The 17,549-nt window shown below is 44.1% G+C and overlaps 1 protein-coding gene and 1 non-coding gene across 8 annotated transcripts in view; one reads left to right on the top strand and one right to left on the bottom strand.

Annotated features, from left to right (window-relative positions):
- Positions 1-17,549, bottom strand: part of SEC24A (SEC24 homolog A, COPII component) — a 79,528-nt gene that overhangs the window by 57,409 nt on the left and 4,570 nt on the right. For 4 of the 7 annotated variants that reach the window (XM_017008961.3, NM_021982.3, XM_047416649.1 and 1 more), the window contains exons 2-3: positions 8,915-9,382; positions 3,505-3,678 (exon numbers count right to left, since the gene is read on the bottom strand). In XM_017008961.3, the coding sequence (XP_016864450.1) occupies positions 3,505-3,678; positions 8,915-9,382 (642 nt within the window). The remainder of the gene's footprint in view (positions 1-3,504; positions 3,679-8,914; positions 9,383-17,549) is intronic. The other 3 variants (XM_047416648.1, XM_006714523.3, XM_017008963.3) reach the window with 1 other exon arrangement.
- LOC124901192 (U7 small nuclear RNA) lies at positions 8,712-8,771 on the top strand. The gene has a single exon (XR_007059144.1). It is a non-coding gene; the product is annotated as a U7 small nuclear RNA (small nuclear RNA).

Here is a 17,549-nt window from a genome sequence, read left to right as displayed (position 1 = left end):
CTCTACTAAGTATGAGCTCTAATTCAGGAATAGAAGACACTTAATTCAGTGAATAGCATTAACCTCTAGCACCTAAGTACAAAACTGCTAACTTCAATAGCTGTATTAACACGAAGTAGATACATTTAATGGTTTAAAGTCAGTAACTTCTTTCCAGTTCTCAAGACCAACATGATTTTAGCCATGAATTTGTAACAGAAAACCACAGTAAAACTTTTAGGAGAAACAAAAACACTGGGCATATTGTGAATTATTTTTAGTTGTTAAAAAAATGTAGGCAAGGCGTGGACGCTTACACCTGTAATCCCAGCACTTTGGGAGCCAAGGCAGGCAGATCACTTGAGCTCAGGAGTTCACACCAGCCTGGGCAACATGGGAAAACCCTGTATCTACTGAAAATACAAAAATTAGCTGGTTGTGGTGGCACATGCCTGTAATCTCAGCTACTCAGGAGACTGAGGCACAAGAATCGCTTGAACCTGGGAGGCGGAAGCTGCAGTGGGCCAAGATCCTTCCACTGCACTCCAGCCTGGAAAACAGAACTCCAGCCTCAGCAAGAGTGAGACTTATGTCTCAAAAATAAATAAAATAAAATATTAGCCAGGTGTGGTGGTACACACCTGTAGTTCCAGACCAGGAGGCTGCAGCTGTAGCCTCCTGCACCTCTGCATTCCAGCCTGTGTGACAGAGTAAACTCTATCTCTTAAAAGTTTTTTTTTTCTGGGGCCGGGCGCAGTGGCTCATGCCTGTAATCCTAGCACTTTGGGAGGCTGAGGCAGGCGGATCACAAGGTCAGGAGATCGAGACCATCCTGGCTAACACAGTGAAACCTCGTCTCTACTAAAAATACAAAAAAAATTAGCCGGGCGTGGTGGCAGGCGCCTGTAGTCCCAGCTACTCGGGAGGCTGAGGCAGGAGAATGGCGTGAACCCGGGAGCGGAGGTTGCAGTGAGCCAAGATCGTGCCACTGCACTCCAGCCTGGCAGACAGAGTGAGACTCCATCTCAAAAAAATAAATAAATAAAAATTTTTTTCTGCCGGGCACAGTGGCTCACGCCTGTAATGCCAGCACTTTGGGAGGGTGAGGCAGGAGGATCACCTGAGGTCAGGAGTTCGAGACCAGCCTGACCAACATGGAGAAACCCCATCTCTACTAAAAATACAAAATTAGCTGGGTGGGGTGGCGCATGCCTGTAATCCCAGCTACTCGGGAAGCTGAGGCAGGAGAATCACTTGAACCCAGGAGGCGGAGGTTGCGGTGAGCCGAGATCGCACCATTGCACTCCAGCCTGGGCAACAAGAATGAAACTCCCTCTCAAAAAAAAAAAATTTTTTTTTCTTATTTAAATATTTAATGTAACTTGATTTTCAAAGTAATACTGTGGCAACCAATGAGACAATGCCTCATCATTTTGATACTCTTTTTTTTGAGACTGAGTCTTACTCTGTCACCCAGGCTGGAGTACTGTGGTGTGATCTCGGCTCACTGCAACCTCCACCTCTCGGGTTCAAGAGATTCTCCTGCCTCAGTCTCCCAAGTAGCTGGGATTACAGGCACATGCCACCACGCCTAGCTAATTTTTGTATTTTTATTTTTTATTATTTTTATTTTTTTTTGAGACAGAGTCTTGCTCTGTTGCCCAGGCTAGAGTGCAGTGGGCAACACTGGAGTGGCCTTACGGGTTCAAGCAATTCTCCTGTCTCAGCCTCCCGAGTAGCTGGGATTACAGGCGCCCACCACCACTCCTGGCTAATTGGTTTTTTTTGTGTGTGTGTGATGGAGTTTTGCTCTTGTCACCCAGGCTGGAGTGCGATCATGCCATCTTGGCTCACTGCAACCTCCGCCTCCCAGGTTCAAGCAATTCTCCTGCCTCAGCCTCCTGAGTAGCTGGGATTACAGGTGCCCGCCACTATGCCCGGCTAATTTTTATATTTTTAGTAGAGACAGGGTTTCGCCATGCTGGCCAGGCTGGTCTGGAACTCCTGACCTTAGGTGATCCGCCCACCTCGGCCTCCCAAATTGCTGGGATTATAGGCGTGAGCCACCGCACCTGGCCTTAATTTCTGTATTTTTAGTAGAGATGGGGTTTCACCACCTTGGTCAGGCTGGTCTCAAACTCCTGACCTAAGGTGACCTGCCCACCTCGGCCTCCCAAAGTGTCAGGATTGAAGGCATGAGCCACCACGCCCGGCCTTGTTACTCGTTGCTAACATTATTCTTTTCCCGACTTATAATACTTAATGTAATGCTAGAAGAAAACACAAAAATGATAATATTGATTGTATTCAGTAGTAGAATATGGGCAATGGTTTTACCCCCTCATCTGTTTTCTACATCTTGCTGCAACGATTATATTACTGCTAAAATCAAAAGCTCTCCTGCCTCAGCCTCCCAAGTAGCTGGGATTACAGGCACATGCCAGCACACCAGGCTAATTTTTGTATTTTTAGTAGAGACAGGGTTTCACCATGTTGGCCAGGCTGGTCTCAAACTCCTGACCTCAAGTGATCTGCCTGCCTCAGCCTCCCAAAGTGCTGAGATTACAGGGGTAAGACACTGTGCCCAGCCTAAAATCAAATTTCTTACTTTATAAAATATCTTATTTAAATGAACACTCTTATTTCCATTACATCCCAAGATGATGCTTTAACATATTTTACTTACATAAAATTGCATGTAGCTAACATTGATTCCAGGGAGGGGAAAATCAAATTTCAAAAGCTTGTATTTTTCCACTGCTTGTATAAATGACTTTTATTTAGTTTCATAAGTATGTGTTAACATTTACGATAATAGTGGCAATCAAAATATATCTTGTTTTTTTTTTTTTGTTTTTTTTTTTTTTTGAGACGGAGTCTGGTTCTGTCGCCCAGGCTGGAGTGCAGTGGCGCAATCTCGGCTCACTGCAAGCTCCGCCTCCCGGGTTCACGCCATTCTTCTGCCTCAGCCTCCAGAGTAGCTGTGACTACTACAGTCGCTTGCCACCACGCCTGGCTAATTTTTTTGTATTTTTAGTAGAGATGGGGTTTCACCATGTTAGCCAGGATGGTCTCGATCTCCTGACCTCGTGATCCGCCTGCCTCAGCCTCCCAAAGTGCTGGGATTACAGGTGTGAGCCACCGCGCCTGGCTCAAAATACGTCTTGAATGAAAAAGGTCAATATTTTAAAAGGATATTCCTAACATTCTAACATCATGTCAAGAAAAGTAGTAATTCTCCTCCAAAAGCCACCTGACTTTATAGCCATGATTTTTAAAAAATCCGCATAGCAACAAAAAAAGTAACAAAACACTAAGAGCTTTTTTCCCAATGGTAGTCACAGCCCAGCGGATGGCAATGGAATTCCTGAGGAACTTTAAATTGTAAATTCCTGTAGCCCATCCCTAACCAAAACTAGATTTTCTGGAAAAAATGTGATTTTAATGCACAGAATTCAGCTAATATTCATCTTTCTACCCTAAGTCAAAACTTGAGGATTTGACTTTGTTTCTTGGTTCACTTACCTTCTTGGTTGACAGCTGAATTAAATAAGGGCTGGGGTACATCTCTATATGATGATGTCAGGGGCGTGAGGGCCCTCACTGGGGGTGGGCCTCCAGCTGGAGGGGGCCCATGAGGAGCTCCTGGTTGAAAAGTTGTAGGCAGAGGTGGATTCACTAAGGGAGGTACAGAAGGACCTATGGAAACATTGGTTTTTCACACGTCACTTGAGAACTCAAGACTATGGCCAAAATCAGCCTTTTACCAAAGCTGAGTAACTTCCAAACTTACATTTAAATTATAATAACCAAAGAGTTACCAGAAACATGTTAACTTCCTAAATTTACAATTTTTCAATCTACATGCATATTTTACAAATTTCTCTCTCTTCCTTCTCTCCCTCCCTCCCTTCCTTCCTTTTTTCTTTCTTTCTTTCTTTCTTTTCTCCTGCCTGCCTTCCTGCTTTCCTGTTTTCTTTCTTGTCGCCCAGGCTGGAATGCGATAGCGCTATCTCAGTTCACTGCAACCTCCACCTCCCGGGTTCAAGAGCTTCCCCTGCCTCAGCCTCCTGAGTAGGAGGGACTATAGGCATGTGAAACCATGCCCGGTGAATTTTTTGTATTTTTAGTACAGCCAGGGTTTCACCATGTTGGCCAGGCTGGTCTCGAGCTCCTGACCTCAGGTGATTCGCCCGCCTTGGCCTCCCAAAGTGCTGAGATTATAGGCGTGAGCCACTGTGCCCGGACCATATTTTACAAATTTCTAACTCTCCCCTACCAGGCCTCTTACCTGTCAATTATTAAAGCAGAGTAAATATAAAATTTGGATTAAATCACTTTTAGAGTAGATACATTGCCCTGTTTGTTTTTATTATTAATAATTTAAATCTTAATAAAATAGAGACGGGGGTCTCATTTTGTTGCCCAGGCTGATCTTGAATTCCGGTGCTCCAGTGATCCTCCTGTCTTGGCCTCCCAAAGTGCTGGGATTACAGGCGTGAGCCACTGTACCTGGCCAGCCCTGTTTATTAATTTTTCATTAACTGATCATTAGATTCAATAGGCCATGTGTCATATTCTAGTACAAATTAACATGAATAAAATTTCAATGTTATTAATTTTGTAATATTTTGTTAATTTTGTTTACCAACATAGTCTGTTCCATTAACATCAACTAAGTTTAGAGTGAGCCTGAAAATAGAGGGCTGGGCCAGGCACAGTGGATCACCTGTGGTCAGGAGTTCAAGACAAGCCTGCCAACATGGTGAAACCCCATCTCTACTAAAAATACAAAAAATTAGCCAGGTGTGGTGGTGGGCACCTGTAATCCCAGCTACTTGGGAAGCTGAGGCAGGAGAATCACTTGAACCTGCGAGGCAGAGGTTGCAATGAGCTGAGATCTCGTCACTGCACTCCAGCCTGGGCAACAAGAGCGAGACTCTGTCTCAAAATAAATAAATAAATAAATAAAAATAAAAATAGGGGGCCAGGAGCAGTGGTTCATGTCTATAATACCAGGACTTTGGGAGACCGAGGCAGAAGGAACACTTTTTTTTTTTTTTTCTGAGACGAAGTCTCACTCTTGTCCCCCAGGCTGGAGTGCAATGGCGCAATCTCGGCTCACTGCAACCTCCGCCTCCTGGGTTCAAGCGATTCTCCTGCCTCAGCCTCCGGCAGCAGCTGGGTCCACAAGTGCGCGCCACCACGCCCGGCTAATTTTTGTATTTTTAGTAGAGATGGGGTTTCACCATATTGGCCAGGCTGGAGGCTGATCTCAAACTCCTGACCTCGTAATCCACCCGCCTCGGCCTCTCAAAGTGCTGGAATTACAGTCGTGAGCCACCACGCTCAGCCTGAAATTTTTCAAAATGTTTCACCAATACTGTTAAATACTCCAGTATCAAGTTGAAAAATTGCCTATTAGGCTGGGTGCAGTGGCTCACGCCTGTAATCCCAGCACTTTGGGAGGCTGAGACAGGTGGATCACAAGGTCAGGAGTTTGGGACCAGCCTGGCCTATATGGTGAAACCCCGTTTCTACTAAAAATACAAAAAATTAGCTGGGCGTGGTGGCGCATGCCTGTAATCCCAGCTACTAGGGAGGCTGAGGCAGAAGAACTGCTTGAACCTGGGAGGCGGAGGTTGCAGTGAGCCGAGATTGCGCCACTGCACTCTAGCCTGGGCGACAGAGTAAGGCTCCGTCTCAAAAAAAAAAAAAAAAAAAAAAAAGAAAAAGAAAAATTGCCTATTACTGAATCTTACAACTGCTAACAAGACTATCAGTGCCTTGTTGACAAAAGTGAAGACAAAGATTATTGCCATGTAACTCCCTTATCAAAGAAGTGGTCACACATATCTATGGCAGTATAGACAAGTCAAAGGAACAAAGGGGCAAGGTACATGGCCAACTCAGCATGAACAAGAATGTAAAATACATCTGGCCACAAAGATGTAACCTACAACCTAATGTTTAACGAATAAAAGTAAACTTACAGAGATTTTCACAGCTTTTAGAAGACTATTTTTGAACAGATAATCATATATTTCATAAAATGAACATTTTTTCAAGTTGAAGAATTCTTATTTACGACACTGATAGCTAGAGTTTCAGAGTCTGCCCTCTCAGCCCCTAAATGAGTATAATGATGCTTAAAGGTGACCTATTAAAAAAATTCAGGAAAATTTAATATATGAACTAAAAACTTAGTATAACCTAAATACTCACAGCTTTGATACCAGACTATCAGGTACCAACTCTCAGTTATGAGTTGGAAAAAAGAAAAAAAATGAGGAATTTGAAGGTTCTTTGAAGGTTCAAATGAGAAAAAAGAAGGTTACTTTTTAGGTTCATTTTATTAGTTTATATGTTTTTATTTCCCCTTCTTTCATAAGTTTCAGCACTTTTTTTTTTTGAGATGGAGTCTTGCTCTGTCGCCCAGACTGAAGGTAGTGGTGCAATCTCAGCTCACTGCAACCTCCGCCTCCCAGCTTCAAGCGCTTCTCCTGCCTCAGCCTCCTGAGTAGCTGGGATTACAGGCACGTGCCACCATACTTGGCTAATTTTTGTATTTTTAGTAGACACGAGGTTTTCACCATGTAGGCCAGGCTGGTCTCGAACTCCTGCCCTCAGGTGATCCACCCGACTCAGCCTCCCAAAGTGCTGGGCTTACAGGCGTGAGCCACCATGCCCAGCCTCAGCACTTATTTATGTCTCTCTCACCAAATCTGTAGTGGAGACAAGGTGCTCTGAGGGTTTCTATTATAGCTAAAGAAATTTCAGATTATTGATAATGTACCTTTTTAAGAGAAGCTACACCTACTCTTAGTATTTATTTATTTTTAAATAAAATTATTTAAAAAAATAGAGATGGGGTCTTGCTATTTTGCTCAGGCTAGTGAACTCCTGGCCTCCTGGCCTCAAGTGGATCCTCCTGCCTTGGACTCCCAAAGTGCTAGGATTATAGGCGTGAGCCACCACGCCTGGCCCTTAAATAGTTTTTAAATAAATGTTTTCCCAAACTATTTTACTGTGGCTTTGGGCAAATTATTCAAGTCTTATACTTTAGATCTGTAAGAGACTGTTACGAAGATTAAACAAGATAATGCAGGCCTGGCTAGGTGGCTCACACCTGTAATCCCAGAACTTTAGGAAATCCAGGCAGCAGGATGGCTTGAGGTCAGCAGTTACAGCAAGCTATGTTGCAGTTAAGTGAGCTATGATCGTGTTACCCTACTCTACCCTGGGCGACAGGGTAAGACCCTGTCTATACAAAAAAATAAAGAACAAAAGATTAGCCAGGCACTGTGGCACGCCTACTCAGGGAGGTGAGGCGGGAGGATAGCTTGAGCCCAGCAGTTTGATGACACTAGGATTGCACCACTGCACTCCAGCTTGGGAAACAGAGAGACAGCCTATCTCTAAAAAATAAAAAGCAAAACAGAAAAACAGATAATGATATCAAAGTTTGATAGAGCCTGGAAAATAATATAGATAACATTTTTTTTAACACTTAAATTTTTTTTTTAGACCAAGTCTCACTCTGTCACCTAGGCCGGAGCGCAGTGGCACAATCATAGCTCACTGCAGCCTCAATTGCCAGAGCTCAAGCAATTCTCCCACCTCAGCCCCCCGAGTAGCTGGGACCACACATTCATTCATTCAAGTGATTGATGTGTGCCACCATATTCATTCATTTCAAGTGATTGATGCTCACTCATGGTATCAAATGAATTAGAACAAAAGTAACATGAAGGATTTTAGCTCTACTAATTGCAGGTCAGAAGATTTCCACAAAGAAACTTAAGTTTCTAGAAGCAGCTTTAATCTTTACAAGGCCAAAATGCATTCACCAGGGCCAATGTCTGATCAAAGGCTTGGAAAAATAAAGTTTCAGCCATTAACAATTTACAAGCCTGATGGAGTATATGCCATATAAACATACATAAGGTTAAAAAGGTAACTATTGATATTACTATTTCACTTGGAAGCCTACACTATTTCATAAACTTGAGGCTGTCTGCTGAGAAGTATCAACCTGCAGATCCCAATACAGAATTTTAAATGCTTTTCAAAGAAATATTGGCTCACACCTGTAATCACAGCACTTTGGGAGGTCAAGGCGGGCGGATCACGAGGTCAGGAGATCGAGACCATCCTGGCTAACACGGTGAAACCCCGTCTCTACTAAAAATACAAAAAATTAGCCGGGCGTGGTGGCGGGCACCTGTAGTCCCAGCTACTCGGGAGGCTGAGGCAGGAGAATGGCGTGAACCCGGGAGGCAGAGCTTGCAGTGAGCCAAGATCACGCCACTGCACTCCAGCCTGGGCGACAGAGAGAGACTCCGTCTCAAAAAAATAAATAAATAATAAATAAATAAAATAAATAAATGTGGCCAGGTGTGGTGGCTCACGCCTGTAATCCTCGCACTTTGGGAGGCTGAGGTGGGCGGATTACCTGAGGTCGGGAGTTCAAGACCAGCCTGGCCAATATGGTGAAACCCCATCTCTACTAAAAATACAAAAAGTTAGCTGGGTGCAGTGGCACGTGCCTGTAATCCCATAATCCCAGCTACTCTGGAGGCTGAGGCAGGAAAATTGCTTGAACCAGGGAGGCAGAGGTTGCAGTGAGCTGAGATTGTGCCACTGCTTTCCAGCCTGGGTGACAGAGCAAGACCCCATCTCAAAAAAAAAAAAAAAAAAGAGAAAAAAGAATGAAAAAAAAAACTACTAATGAGTGTTATAGCTTACTTAATTTGTCTAGCAGGCTTTCTGGTTTTTGCTGGAAAGCCGAAAAACAAAAAACAACAAAAAACTACTAATAATTTTAAAAGTCACATTTTCCATATGGTTTTCAGGTTTCAAGTATTATTTCAAACATCTAAATAAGCAAAAGTTTCACATTTCTACATTTTAAGCACTTCTATAAGAATACTACCTGACTTTATGAAGCTATTTTGAAGTGAAGGATATCCAGAAGAAACATATTGATGATTTGTGGTTAAACTTGTATTTCCAGATACAGTTGGTTGGGATGATGCACGAGGACAATGGTTTGTTTGTGAGGCTGTGGATGGATAGTTATATTGCCAATTCAAAGGTGGTGGCAGGTTGGCTTCAGGAAGAAAGCTACTAGAAGGCATTGGTGTAGTAGCTGGGTTCTGAGAAGCAGGTAATGGCATTCGGGGAGCAGGACCACTATGAAGCGAAGGTGTCACTGGATTAGAGGCCACAGGTGGTCTATTAAGAGTCTGCCCAGATCCCTGAGAACCACCATAGTTAGACTGTCCAGAGACTGGATTCAAAGTCTTTGCTGGTATTGGATGAGGGTAGGATCCTGGAAGCTGGAAATTGTATCCTTGGCTCACTGACTCTTGTGAAGACAGCAATGCATTTTGGACAGGACCTTCCAATAAAAGGAGGAAAAATTAGTCTTACCAACGAATATAGCAATACTTTAAGAAATAAAGTAAAACATATATTCTTACAGTCAGCAATAAAAACACATAACTCAATTAAAAAATAAGCAAAGGACTTAAATAGACATTCAAACATACTTCCAAAGAAGATAGCTAATAAGCACATGCCAAAACATTCAACATCATCAGTCATTAGAGAAATACAAACATAATTAGTCATAACAGAAATGTAAATCAAAACCACAATGAAGGCCAGCGCAGTGGCTCACATCTGTAATCCCAGCACTTTGGGAGGCCAAGGCAGGTGGATAGCTTGAGCCCAGGAGTTCAAGACCAGCCTGGGCAACATGGTGAAACCCCATGCCTATAAAAAAAAACAAAAAGTAGCCAGCCTTGATGGTATGCGCCTGTAGTCTTAGCTACTTGGGGGGCTGAGGCAGGAGGATTACTTGAACCCAGGAGGTCAAGGCTGCAGTGAGCCAAGGTCACACCATTGCACTCCAGCCTGGGTGACAAAAAAAAAAAAAAAAGATGGACTAAACAGTAGCAAGTAACAGAGGGAATACAGAGATGTCTCAATAAATGAAAACATTTGTAAAAAAATAATATATAAGCATATGTTGGGTCACTTGGATAAAAATAGGCCATCTCACAGCCCAATGTTGCCACAAGATGTCCTGGCCTAGTTTCATATTTGTATTACAATTTTATTTACTTACTTATGGATTGATTGATTGATTGAGACAGCACTTTACTCTGTCATCCAAGCTGGAGTACAGTGGCACAATCATGGCTCACTGTAGCTCTGACCTCCTGGGCTCAAGCGATCCTCCCATCTAAGCCTCCTGAGAAGCTGGGACTACAGGCATGCACCACCACGCCGGCCTAATTTTTTTTTTTTTTTTTTGTAGAGACAGAGACTCACTATGTTGCCCAGGCTGGTCTCAAATTCCTGAGCTCAAGTAATCCTCCTGCCTCAGCCTCTATAAGCGCTAGGATTACAGGCGTGAGCAAACAGGTTGTATTTACAATCTTATCACAAGCTAATACGCTAAAGAGGTGCCTTCAAGCCAGGTACAGCCAAGTGAAAGCCAAATACCATCAAAATGTACAAAATAAGCAAAAATTTGACAGGCCAATAAAGATGAAAACATGCTGGGCATGGTGCCTCACACATATAATCCCAACACTTTGGGAGGCCAAGGCGGGCAGATAGCTTGAGCTCAGGAGTTCGAGACCAGCCTGGACATAATAGTAAGACCTCGTCTCTATAAAAAATATAAGAATTAGTTGGGTGTGGTGGCGCCTGCCTGTAAGTCCCAGCTACTTGGGGCTGAGGCAGGAGGATCACTGAGCACAGGAGGTTAAGGCTGCAGGGAGCTGCGTTCACGCCACTGCACTCCAGCCTCTGTGACAAAGTGAGACCCTGTATCCTGTCTCAAAAAAAAAAAAAAAAAAAAGAATATGAGGTCATAAGGCCAACTGGCAGGAAGACAGATACAAAAGAACTTGTTTTGTGGTAGTCACCATCATAGACCTATTGTGAGTAACTATTACATGAAAATTTTTTTTTCTGACATCCCTCCCCACTATGTGAAAATCATATATGGATCAATTACAAGTAGTTCACAAAAAGTGTAGTAATAAATATATAATGACACCTTCACTAAATGGATAATTTTTTTAAATTCTGAAGTCATTACTAAGTAGCCCATCAAAATAATGGGTCTGTGAGGCCAGGCGCGGTGGCTCACGCCTATAATCCCAGCACTTTGGGAGGCCAAGGCGGGCGGATCACGAGGTCAGGAGATCAAGACCATCCTGGCTAACATGGTGAAACCCCATCTCTACTAAAAATACAAAAAAATTAGTGGAGCGTGGTGGCGGGTGCCTGTAGTCCCAGCTACTCGGGAGGCTGAGGCAGGAGAATGGCGTGAACCCAGGAGGCAGAGCTTGCAGTGAGCCAACATCGCGCCACTGCACTCCAGCCTGGGTGACAGAGCAAGATTCCATCTCAATAAATAAATAAATAAATAAATAAATAAATAAATAAATAAAAATAAATGGGTCAGTGATTGTGAAGGGGTCCAGAATACGCTACTATGGCATAAAAATTATTTTAAGCAGAAGGCATTTGAGTTCCTAAAATCTCTTATCTGCCTAAAACAGAGCCTTCCAAAAGAACTCAATTGTCATAATCTACTTCCCAGGGGCAACCAGGAAAGATGTCAATCTGACTCATGACCTGAGATGAGAAATTTCCACACCACACCTAAACAGATATCATCACAAAACTATCATATCTATTCTAAAAGCCCATTTATCCTTCCTATAAGTCGTCTGTTTTCCAGTAAATGTCCTCTCCCCCACCCCATTCTTCCCCTATTAAAATCGTGTAGAGGTTGGGCATGGTGGCTCATGCCTGTAATCCCATCACACTGGGAGGCCAAAGCAGAACTACTTGAGCTCAGGAGTAGGAGACCAGCCTGGGCAACACAGCGAGACTCCATTTCCACACAAAAAAATTAAAAATTAAAAAATTAGCCAGGAGTTGTGGCACATGCCTGTAGATCTAGCTTCTCAGGAGGCTGAGGCAAGAGGACTGCTTGAGCCCAGGAGTTTGACTTCAGTGAGCTATAATTAGGCATTCCACCCTGGGCTACAGAGTGAGAACGTGTCTCAAAAACAAAAAGGAAAAAGTGAGCATGATAGTCACCCAAGTAATGTTCCAACATATTCAAAATTAAAACAATCAAATCAACTGTGGTTTCAAACAAAATGTAGCATATTGTTTAATGTTTTAAAATTGAATTATATTGCTTTTGATTTTTTTTTGAGACAGAGTCTCGCTCTGTTGCCCAAGCTAAAGTGCAGTGGTGCGATCTCGGCTCACTGCAACCTCCGCCTCCTGGGTTCAGGCGATTCTCCTGCCTCATTCAGCCTCTCGAGTAGCTAGGATTACAGGTGTGCACCACCACGCTGGCTAATTTTGTATTTTTAGTAGAGACGGGATTTCACCATGTTGGCCAGGCTGTTCTTGAACTTCTGACCTCAAGTGATCTGGCCACCTCAGCCTCCCAAAGTGCTGGGATTACAGGCGTGAGCCACCATGCCCAGCCATATGTTGATATTTTTAATGTTTGGTTTTACAATAGTACAATAGCTATAACCCTATGAAGTTTACATCTAGTTTTGTGTTTGCATATACACATTTAATAAAAATAATTTTTGCCAGGCATGTTGGCTTGATCTTGTAATCCGAGCACTTTGAAAAGCCAAGGTGGGAGCACGGCTTGACCTCAGGAGTTCAAGAATAACCTGGGTAATATAGTGAGACCTCGTCTCTACAAAAAAATAAATAATTAGCCAGTTGTGGTGGCACGTGCCTATATTCCCAGCTACTTGGGAGGCTGAGGCGGGAGGATCACTTGAACCCAAGAGATCAAGCCTGCAGTGGGCTGTGATCATGCCCCTGCACTCTAGCCTGGGCAACAGAGTGAGAACCTGTGTCAGAAGTAAAATAAATAAATAAATAATTTAACATTGGGACAGCAGAGAAATATTTAGTATCTATACATTACTCAAATTTTTAAAAACTGATTTGAGGAAACAGCATTCATGGGATTTTATGTGGAATTGAATATGGGTGATGAAGAGAGGAAAAAATCTAGGATGACTCCTAGGTTTCTGACCTGAGCAACCTGGTGGATGGCCGTGTTTATTCATTTGAACAGAAAGAGAAAAGAATAGAAATGTAGGCCAGGCACGGTGGCTCATGCCTGCAATCCCAGCACTTTAGAAAGTCAAGGTGGGAGGATCACTTGAGGCCAGGAGTTTGAGACCAGCCTGGGCAATAGCAAGTCCCTATCTCTACAAAATATAAGTTTTGGTTGTGTGTGTGTGTGTGTGTGTGTGTGTGTGTGCGTTTTTCAGAAATGAGGTCTCGCTCTGCCACCCAGGCTGAAGTGTCACAGCTCACCGCAGCCTCGACCTCCCAAGCTCAAGCGATCCTCCCACCTCCCCTCTTGAGTAGCTGGGCCTACAGGCGTGCACCATTATGCCTGGCTAATTTTTAAATTTTTTTGTAGAGATGGGGTCTCCCTAAGTTGTCCAGGCTGGTCTCGAACTCCTGGGCTCAAGGGATCTTCTTGACTCGACCTCCCAAAGTACTAAGATTACAAGCATGAGCCACTCCACCCACTTGATCAAGGATCAAGGATTACTTGAGCCCAGGAGTTCAAGGCTGCAGTGAGCTATCATTGCATCATTGCATTCCGGCCAGGGCGACAGAATGAGAGCTGTCTTTAAAAAAAAAAAAAAAAAAAAAGTCGGATGCAGTGGCTCATGCCTGTAATCCCAACACTTTGGGAGGCCGAGGTGGGTGGATCACCTGAAGTCAGAAGTTCGAGACCAGCCTGACCAACACGGTGAAACCCCGTCTCTACTAAAATACAAAAATTAGCCGGGCATGGTGGCACACGCCTATAGTCCCAGCTACTCAGAGGCTGAGGCAGGAGAATTGCTTGAACCTGGGAGGCGGAGGTTGCAATGAGCGGATATCGTGCCACTGCACTCCAGCCTGGTTGACAGAGCAAGACTCTGTCTCAAAAAAACAAAGGTGGGGAATGGCAAAGGGAAGAGAGATCGAAGAGTTATTTTAAACACACTAATTTTCAGGTGCCACCAAGAAATCTAAGTGGAGATGTCCAGTATAAAGATATTTATCTGCGCTGGGCGCGGTGGCTCAGGCCTGTAATCCCAGCACTTTGGGAGGTCAAGGCGGGCAGATCATGAGGTCAGGAGAGCAACACCATCCTAAGACGGTGAAACCCCATCTCTTCTAAAAATACAAAAAATTTGCCGGGTGTGGTGGCACATGCCGGTGGTCCCAGCTACTCCGGAGGCTGAGAAAGGAGAATCGCTTGAACCCAGGAGGCAAAGGTTGCAGTGAGCCAAGATCGTGCCACCTCACTCCAGCCTGGGCAACAGAGCAAGACTCTGTCTTAAAAAAAAAAAAAAAAAGATATTTAGCTGCAGCCAAAGTGACAGATTTCACCTTAAGATATAATTATGGGAGTCACTGATCTATGCATAAGATTTAAAACCATGGGAATTAAAGACACCCAGGGAGTATATAAGAGTAAGAAAAATAGGTCACCTTGAAGAACACCAATATTTAAGGAGGAGAGAGAAAAAAACAATCAGAAATGGAAGAAATATTGAGAATACTGCTGTTGAGAAATAGCAACCAAAAAAAAGAAAGAAAACCATAACTACCCTTCTGGTGATATCCTAGAAACCAAAGAAAGCAATTGTTGTAAAAACAAAATAACAGCCAAAGGTATCAAATGCAGCTCGGAAAATGAGAACTGAAAAATATTTTTCTATTTAATAACCAGGAAGCCATTTGTGGCCTTATTTATTTATTTATTTATTTTGAGATGAATTCTTGCTCTGTCGCCCAGGCTGCAGTGCAATGTCATGATCTCGGCTCACTGCAACCTCCACCTCTCGGGTTCAAGTGATTCTCCTGCTGAGAATCACTCAGGAGGCTGAGGCCTCCTGAGTAGCTGGGATTACAGGCGCACGCCACCACACCCGGCTAATTTTTGTATTTTTAGTAGAGACAAGGTTTCACCATGTTGGCCAGGCTGGTCTTGAACTCCGGACCTTGTGATCCACCCGCCTTGACCTCCCAAAGTGCTGGGATTACAGGCATGAGCCACCACGCCCAGCCTTGTGGCCTTATTAAGGACAATTTTGGGATGTGTGGGTAAAGAAGCTAAATTAGAAAGTTAGAGGCAAGAATGAATGCAGATGAGTGCTTCCCACCCAACCAGCAGCTTCAGAATCAGAGGAACCTGCTATAATAATGGTACAAATTGAGATCCCAGGTCCCACCTTTGTAAAATCCTATTTCATAGGATTCAAAAGGATCCCAGAATCTGCATTAGTAAAAAATCTCATGTGGCCGGGTGCGGTGGCTCACACCTGTAATCTCAGCACTTTGGCTCAGGCGGGCAGATCACCTGAGGTCAGGATTTTGAGACCAGCCTGGCCAAAAAGCTGTACGTTTCTTTAGGAAAGCCTGGGCCAGGCGTAGTGGTTCACACCTGTAATCCCAGCACTTTGGGAGGCCAAGGTGGGAGGATCACGAGGTCAGGAGTTCGAGACCAGCCTGGCCAAATGGTGAAACCCATCTCTACTAAAGACACAAAAAAATTAGACAAGCATGGTGACGCACACCTGTAATCCCAGCTACTTCAGGGGCTGAAGCAGGAGGATTGCTTGAACCATGGAGGTTAAGGCTGCAGTGAGCCAAGACTGCACCACTGTACTCTAGCCTGGGGGACAAAGTGAGACCATTTCTGAAAAACCAAAACAAAACAAAACAAAACTGCAGTTTCTAACTGGCTTTGCAAGTTGATTCAGTCAATAAAGGCACTAATTAATGGTGGGAGTCATTATTTGCCTTTAGCGTTAATACATGATAATCAGATTAAGATCCATTAGTTTAAGGTCTTGTAGTCTGCTATCAATTTTTGCAAAGGAAATATGTATACACAAAGACTTAGAAAAACCTCTCAGCTGGGCGCAGTGGCTCACGCCTGTAATCCCAGCACTTTGGGAGGCCAAGGCAGGCAGATCACGAGGTCAGGAAATTGAGACCACCCTGTCCAACATGGTGAAACCCCGTCTCTACTAAATATACAAAAATTAGCTGAGCATGGTGGTGCACGCCTGTAGTCCCAGCTACTCGGGAGGCTGAGGCAGGAGAATCACTTGAACCCGGGAGGCAGAGGCTGCAGTGAGCCAAGATCTGCACCACTGCACTCCAGCCTGGGTGACAGCGTGAGACTCCGTCTCAAAAAATATATATATATATTTTTTTTTTTTGAAAAAGGCTACTGTTAGGTCTTTTGTTTTTTATTAATTTATTTATTTTTGTGACAGGTTCTCACTCTGTTGCCCAGGCTAGAGGGTAGTGGCATGATCATGGCTCATTGCAGCCTTAACCTCCTGGACACAGGTGATCCTCCTACCTCAGCCTCCTGAGTAGCTGGGACCACAGGCTGGCACCACTACACTGGACTAATTTTTCTTACTTTTTTATAGATATGGGGTCTTCCTATGTTGCCTACCCTGGTCTGAACTCCTAGGCTCAAGCAGCCCTCCTGCCTTGGCCTCCCAAAGTGCTGGGATTACAGGTGTGAGCCACTGCACCCGGCCTATTTATTTATTTTTGAGACAAGATACTGCCATGTCACCCAGGTTGTAGTGCAGTTGTGCAATTGTAGCTCACTGCAGTCTTGACCTCCTGGGGTCAAGTGATCTTCCTGTCTCAGCCTCCCCAGTAGCTGGGACTACTGGGCCCGCACCATGCCTATTTTTTAAAAATTCTTTGTAGAGACAGGTTCTCACTATGTTGCCGAGGGTGGTCTTGAATTCTTGGGCTAAAACAATCCTAGCACCTCGGCCTCCCAAAGTGCTGACATTACAGGTGTGAGCCACCACACCTGGTGAGGTCTTTTGACTATAATATATAAAATATCTGTGCTAGATGTTGTGGCTCATGCCTGTAATCCTAGCTCTTTGGGAGGCCAAGGCAGGAGGATTACTTGAGTCCAGGAGTTCAAGACCATCCTGGGCAACAGAGTGCAGCTCTGTTTTCTAAAAAAAACTGTTTAGTTAGCCAGGTTTCAGGGCATGTGCCTGTAGTCCTAGCTTCACAGGAGGCTGACGTGGGAGGATCACTTCAGCCAGGAGGTTCGAGGCTGCAGTGAGCCATGATCAAGTGACTACACTTCAACTTGGGTGACAGAGCAAGACCCAGGCTCTTTAAAAAACAAACAAACAAACGAAACTGGAACGGGTATGGTGGCTCACACCTGTAATGCCAGCACTTTGGGAGGCTGAGGCAGGAGGATCATGAGGTCAGCAGATAGAGGCCATCCTGGCCAACATGGTGAAACCCCGTCTCCACTAAAAATACAAAAATTAGGCCGAGCACAGTGGCTCATAACTGTAATCCCAGCACTTTGGGAGGCAGAGGCGGGCAGATCACGAGGTCAGGAGATTGAGACCATCCTAGCTAATATGGTGAAACGCTGTCTCTACTAAAAAAAAAAAAAAAATACAAAAAATTAGCCGGGT

The sequence above is a fragment of the Homo sapiens genome, chromosome 5, assembly GCF_000001405.40.
Source record: "Homo sapiens chromosome 5, GRCh38.p14 Primary Assembly".
In the NCBI taxonomy this organism is placed as follows: Eukaryota; Metazoa; Chordata; class Mammalia; order Primates; family Hominidae; genus Homo; species Homo sapiens.
This window is presented reverse-complemented; position numbering and strand designations above follow the sequence as displayed.